This window comes from Homo sapiens, chromosome 5 (genome assembly GCF_000001405.40).
Source record: "Homo sapiens chromosome 5, GRCh38.p14 Primary Assembly".
Classification (NCBI taxonomy): domain Eukaryota; kingdom Metazoa; phylum Chordata; class Mammalia; order Primates; family Hominidae; genus Homo; species Homo sapiens.
The window spans coordinates 21,582,881-21,590,313 of NC_000005.10; the positions used below are offsets into that span (position 1 = coordinate 21,582,881).

General features: G+C 35.5%; 1 pseudogene across 1 annotated transcript in view; it reads left to right on the top strand.

Annotated features, from left to right (window-relative positions):
* GUSBP1 (GUSB pseudogene 1) overlaps window positions 1–6,492 on the top strand; it is a 129,860-nt pseudogene extending 123,368 nt beyond the window's left edge. The window contains exon 5 of the transcript NR_027026.2: window positions 2,650–6,492. The product of NR_027026.2 is annotated as a GUSB pseudogene 1, transcript variant 1 (transcript). The remainder of the gene's footprint in view (window positions 1–2,649) is intronic.
* Window positions 6,493–7,433: the final 941 nt, after the last annotated feature.

Consider the following 7,433-nt stretch of genomic DNA (forward strand, 5'->3'; position numbering starts at 1 on the left):
GTCACCTTCAGAAGGAAATGGAGATAGATGGGTCACTGTCCATTTGTTTTGCTCCTTTGCAACATTCAGTTGAGGCCTCAGACATGGAACAAGAATAGAATCCACACACAGCACTGCTGTTCTGCATGCATAATGTGATTTATAAAACTTTCTTCAGGTAACAGAGAAAGGGCCCAGCACAAGGTAATTACAAGCAGGATCATCTAAAGAATTTACAAAGACAGGAAGTCTGCAACTGAGAATGCATAGGCCCATCAATAACACAAATAGCACCATGTGAGAGAACGATGTACAAATTATGAGGCAGAATGAACTTACTTAACAGCACCTGGGAACTTATCCAGGAATATTTTACGTTTTCTCTGAAAGAACATTAATGTGCATACAAAATAGGGCAATTTTCATGACAAAGTCCTAAATATAGAGAACATTCAAATGTCACCAAATTATGCCTCCTCTAAAGCTGAAATATAAAATACCCTTTCAGTTTTTTGACTAACAAAGTGTATATGATCTCTTTCTTGTTTCTTTGATTGATTCTTAATCATAAAGGCACCCATTTTAAGATATTATGAAAAATGATGGTGAATGTATTATAGCAGGAGTAATATTGTATTTATTTAATTATACAGTTACTAAATGTGTTCAGTATTAAAAAGAATGCCACCAACATCAAAGGCTGAAAAATTACTTTCCATCCAATATTTGAATACCAATATATGAATTAAATTTTAAAAATATTGCATAAATTTACAAACAAGCACTTTTATTTCTTTTTACATCATATTTAAAGTATATTTGCTTTTACATGCATACATTTTGATGTATTTTTACTAATTAATTACTATGCTTTCAAAAAAGTATTTGCTTTAAGACTTTTAGAAATGTTTATCTTTTCAGAAATATATTTAAAATGTCTTTTATGTAGGTAGGACTCAAGAAGCTAAAGGAGCTGCATGCAGTCCAGGTTGTATACACAAAAAATGAAGCAAAAAGTCCACTTAACATGAATGGGTTCCATAGATTTCTATGTATCTATTAGTTCTATAACTTGTAGCCATGTTTGTAAACCATCATATGGCAACTACCTTAGACCACATTAGAAATATTTAGGACTTATGAGTTGAAGATGAGGAATAAAAAAATCCAGAGAAGTCTAGAGCTATGAAAGTTATGCAAAGAAAAATAAATGTATAAAAAGTGGCAAATAACTGTGCCCATAGTGATCTATGCCTATATAAAAATATTTTCCAACATATGGAAAATATACGTCTAATATGTTGGCTTGTTGACTACTGCCATTTAGAAATTTATATTTATGCTATAATAAAGTAAAATTGATTTTATTCATAAAATATTTAAAAATCAGGTTTTCTATGAATAGTGTCCCTGAATTTAAAATTGTCTTCTCCATACACTTATATTTCCCAAGTCTTCATATCTCCTGCTGAGACTCCATTTCTGAGTCTAAATCTGAATTCCTATGTCGTTAATAATCTACATGTCCAAAGGAGACTGGATAATTGTATTCTTTTTTTTTTTTTTTTTTTCTTTTCTTTGAGACGGCTGGAGTGCAGTGGCGCGATCTCGGCTCACTGCACCCTCACCCTTCTGGATTCACGCCATTCTCCTGCCTCAGCCTCCTGAGTAGCCGGGACTACAGGCACCCGCCACCACGCCCCGCTATTTTTTTTTTTTGTATTTTTAGTAGAGACGGGGTTTCACCGTGTTAGCCAGGATGGTCTTGATCTACTGACCTTGTGATTCACCGGCCTTTGCTTCCCAAAGTGCTGGGATTACAGGCGTGAGCGACTGCGCCCGGCCCGTATTCTTAAAATCTGCTCTTTTTCTTCCATTTTCTGTGTCATTAAATGGCACAAAAGCCAAGGAATTACAATAGACTCTTCTGCTGCTCTTTTTCTGCCACATCCAATGAGTCATTTCATTTTTATAAAATTATCTCAATGTTACCTTCTTCTCTCTGTCTTCGGATCATTGTCTTAGGTCACAGCAGTCTTGCTTCCCACTTGCATTTTAGATCTAGCATGGAATGGACTTCCATCTCTAGGCTTATCCTGACCCAGTAACTCCTTTCAATCTACTGCCAGTGATTTTGAACCTACAGTTATGACCATGTCAGTCACCTGCTTAATAACCTTCAAGGGCTTTCAACCACCTTCGAAATAAATAAAGTTTGTGTAGGAAGAAGATGTTAAATCAAAACATTTGTGTTTCAGGTAATTCCTAGTTCCTAACTGATTTAAGGCTTTTTAACTCATCAGATAAAAGGTATGCCTCATGGGGATGGCTGAATTTGATTGATTATGAGGAAGTTAATGCTTCTCTGTGAACATCAAAATAGTGTCGGGGTTGAGTATTAAAAGTACAGGTGAGAAAATAGGTTCCAACAAATGATCTTGATGTTTTACGATTCTTTGGTAAAGACATTTCTCACCCAAAATGGAATTTTCACGTTAAGATCCAAGCCTAATTGTCTAAGATCATTGAGAGTTTTGTTGTTGGTTTTGTTGTTTGTTTTGCTTTGTTTTGTTTGCTGTTTTAGTCTATAAAGCAGCTGGAAAGGCTTTAGAGAGTGTTTTGCTGAAAAATAAAAGGTAAATGCTTATCTATTTTTTTTTTTTGTTACAGAAAGAAGATGGAAGAAGAAGGAAAGAAAAGGCATAATGTAAATATAAACGCTGTCTTTATTTCTGGATCTAGCAAAGAGTTAGTTTGAAAGAGCAATTGCTTATAAGACTACAAGGCTGATTTCTCCCATCCCTGCAATGCTGAAAGTCTGTGCCCTTCTAAGCAAATTCTAGTTTCCCTGACAATTAGTCTAATGGAATGCCTGGATGTAGGAATATTGATTCCGATGACAGTACTTTTACAGATGGACCTGAGATATTTCTGCTGGTTCTTCACTGACAACACACAACATATGGATGATCATAACTTTCCCATATACCCCACTAGGGCAAAACCAGAAACTGAGAAAGCTAGATGGAAGAATAATGATGTGGAAGGGGAGTTCTCCACTAGGAAGGATCCGATGAGTAGATAGACACAAGGACAAAGAGGGCCTAACTTTGGGCTGTGGAAGCGGAGTTGCACTCATAGGAGCCATAGTGAGTCATTGCATCAGAACCACTAAGCATCAGTCATGAAGAGCAAACGGGCTTGCTGTTACAGGAGCTAAACCCTGAACCCTTCCATCGTGGTTACAGAGAGCTTCTGGGGGACAGCATGAGACAGCTTAGCACTTCCCCAATATTATGAGGAAACCCAAAGGCCCAGATGCCACTTGGGAAAGGAGAACCAAGAAGGAAGGACTTCAGAAAAGGAAGAAACCATGAAACATTAAGTAATTTACAAACTAGACTCTTCTTTATTCTCTTATTTTATTTATTTCTTTATTTTTGAGACAGAGTCTCACTTTTTGCCCTTGATGAAATGGACTGGCCCAATCATGGCTCACTGCAGCCTCAAAATCCTGGCCTCAAGAAATCCTCCAGACTCAGCCTCCTAAAGTGCTGGGATTACAGGCATGAGCCACAGCACCTGACCTAGACTGTTTTAAACTAGATTTCCCTGAGAAAACTTTCACTGGAAAAATCAAAATTATCCTGCTGTCATTAAGAGAAAACTATCTGTTGTAGAAAATTACATTCTTTTTTTTTTCAGACATGTCATATAAATATTTGGACCCCTCTCTGAGAACAAACTACTTAAAAGTCATTTCAATCATTAACGAATATCATAATTGAGGGCCTGTGCTGGGTGCCAGAAATCTACCAGTGAGCAAAACAGCACGGATCTTTGTCCACAGTAAATTTACAGATCAGAGGAAACAGAAAAACAATCAGTTAAATAAAACAGGTCTGAAAATTGCGTATGAGAACCCAAAGCAGAGGTACCTAATCAGGTCAAAAAAAAAAAAAAAATGGAGCAAATTGTGCCTAATAACTTGGTATTTTTCTGCATCCATTTGATGTTCTAGCTACATTTCTTCACATGTCCCATTACTAAGGTCGACACTTTCATGCAGTTGCATATGTTGTTCCCAGTATTACTTTCCTGTTGCTGCCCTAACAAATTGTCACACTTTTGCAGCTTAAAACAACACAAGTAGATTATGTTACAATTCTGGAAGAGAGAAGTTCTAAAATCAAGGTTTTCACAGGGCCAGATTCTTCTGGAGGCTGCAGGAGAAAACCTGTTTCCTTGCCTTTTTCTGCTTCTAGAGGCTTCCTGCATTCTTGCCCTTGTAAGCCTTCCTTCCTCCCAGCAGTCCAGCCTCTGCTTTTGTCATCATATCTTTTTCTCTCTGACTTGAGCTTCTTGCCTCCCTCTTACATAAACCCTAGTGTCTACACCGCACCCACCAGGATACTTCAGGATAATCCTCCCATCTCACGACCTTTACCTTAATTATCTCTGCAAAGCCCCTTTCGGCATGCAAGGTTAACATATTAACAGGTTTCAGGGATGAGGCCATGCCCATTTGTGGGTGGGGGTGGTTGTAGGAAAAGCATCATGCAACCTACCACTCTTTGTTCACAGGAATTTCCATCTGGATCTTTTTAGAATTAATCATTATCATTTACTAAAGTGTGGAGGATGATAGAAGAAAAAAACGAAGGCAGTTAAGGAAAGAGCAAAGAAAGGCAAATGGGAAGGAAGGAATGAAGGAAGAAAGTCAACCTTAGATCATCATAGTAAAAAAAAGTAGTACTGATTACTGATGAATCGTTTAAAGTAAAAACTGCAGGATAGCTATTGCTATACCTATTTTGAAAGTGAGATTTCAAATGACCTCTCCAATTTGCATTCACTTATATGTCCAAAGGTATGACCATCAATCTATCTTAATGTCAGCAAAAGAACTTCACATTCACTTTTGAAGTGATTTGAAATGGCTTTAAAATCATTCAAAAATAGTCATATGTCAACCTTAACAACATGTCTGCAGCACACTTTTACTTCTCTGGCTCAAAAACTGTGCTGTTACCAGGTGGATCTCAGAGAATGAGATATATAGGATGTTCCATAGAGTATTCTTAGCTCTACAACATCTTCCCTCAATTTATCCTACTAAGTTCAAATTACTGACCTTCAGGGTATGGAAATAGATCTACTATTTTAGCATTTTACGCATTGTCTAATACGTAAAACCCATCAGCTAACATAAAAGAAGTTTCTTGTTAAACTAAGATATAATGTCTGATTATCGTATATTATCCAAAATATGATTCATACTAAATATGAAATTATCTATATCTATATATTTTGACAACATAAAAGCTATAGAATGTCTCTAGCACTAGATAGGAGAACAATACCTTCTTGTTATATATAATATTTGTTCAATATATTTTTCTTTTAAAAAATTTATGTCATGTAGGCCCTCCACCAGTGGTGATATGTGTACAATTTTCTTCTAACATACAGTATTTATAAAAGTTGTTAAGTTGTTTATTACTGAGATGTTTTGTACCTCTGATATAGATAGATAGATAGATTTATAGATAGGAGATAGATAGATAAATTATAGATAGATGATAGATAGATGGATAGATGATAGATAGATGATAGATGATAGATAGGTAGATACATAGATACATATATAGATGATAGATACATATATGATAGATAGATGATAGATAGATAGATAGATAGATAGATAGATAGATAGATAGATAGATAATCTTTTAGTGCCCCATAGAAGTAGCTCTTCATTATTGAAGGATAATCCACTAAATATGTTAAGGCGATTCATCTTAAAAGTATCTGTGCTCTCATTTGCTGTGTAGCAAACCTCCCACATGGAATAATTTGTCTTCATGCTCTTCTCTTCAAAGTCACAGCAATATTTCAAATTACCTTTAAAGCAGTATTTCCTGAGAAATAATTGCATTTTTCTTTATTGCCATATGGTTCTCTAGATATTTTTGCTTGTCACCAAGGGAAGGAGATCAAGTGGCTCCCCAGTGATAGGTGATGTTACCTTGGATGCAGACAGCATCCCTAACCAGATACTGAACCTGTTGGCACCTTGATCTTAAACTTCTCAGCCTCTGGAATTGTCAGAAAAAAATTTCTGTCTTTCAGGAATTACCCAGTATCAAGCATATTCTTACAGCAGCACAAACTAAGACAGGGAGGCTTTTGCTATCTCTCCTCTGAATTGTCACAATTATCTTCGAAATGGTCTTTCTACTTTCACTTTCATGGCTTTCCAATAATTCTCAATACAAATGCATGATTACATAAACATTTGCTCAAGAACCTGTATAAAAAGACTGGTGGATAGTGACTAGATCCTCAGGATATGCAGGGCTCAAGAGAAATGAAATATCTTGGGGATATGGTTACTTAAGACGTGATACTGTCACAGTGAATTTCACAGAAGATGGTGCTGCCCTAACTGAGGTTCAATCCATGTATAAGCCAGACCAATCTGAAGACAAATAAAGTATTTCACAGCCACAATTTCTGTTGTCATATTTATTTTGCTTGCATACTTACAAATCTACAAAAAAGAAACTGGTACAATGGTAGGAAATTGTTGCAAAACCATCTCCACCACTGGAAAAGCCATAAAACGGGTATCTTTTTCAAAGCAAATCAGTTATATTATCTCTTTGGGTTAAAGCTAAAATATTATACTTGAGTTATGTAAGTGTTATCTCTAACAAGTATCTACCAACAGGGCAGTGCCAAGGTATTAACCAAATACATTTGTAAAGAATCAATAACAAAGAACAAACACACCGGAATAGCTGAATGGAATGAAGTGGTTCTTTTTTTCTTTTTAAATTGTAAACCTCTAGGTGGTTAGCATTAAGGTAGAGAGTACCCTGAAGTAATACAAATGTTGCTGGTTTAATTTTTTTCAGCAGTAGGGAATTTTCAAAATATTGAAGGGTTATGAAGTGTGACTTGTGAAAAGGTTTTAGCAATCTTGAAGCAAATATTGCTTAAAAATATTGGGTTACGATCATAATGAATTCAATATCAGTTTAGAACCAAAATGTTTCTCCATAAAGATGGCAATGGTATGTGTCAATTAGAAATAAAACAAAAGCAGTTGCTTTCTATGTGATGAATTCAAGAGCTAATAGTTAAAAATAATTCAAATAGTTTCACCAAATAGATGAAAATACCAAATGTATAACATTAAATTATGTTAGGTATGATTGATTAGGAAACTCAGTAAGGTTGGAATGACTTGATTATCTATGAAATATATTTATGTATACATGGAAATAAAATACTTACATTTGTATTATTTTATCTTCATCCATCTATTGATCTGTCGATCTATTTATCTAGTTACCTAATCTTTTATGTGAAATTTATTAGGAAAATTTGAATACCGTCTGTCTTCATTGTGGCCCATGAGGTCCTTGAACCCAGAAACCATGTTTCAT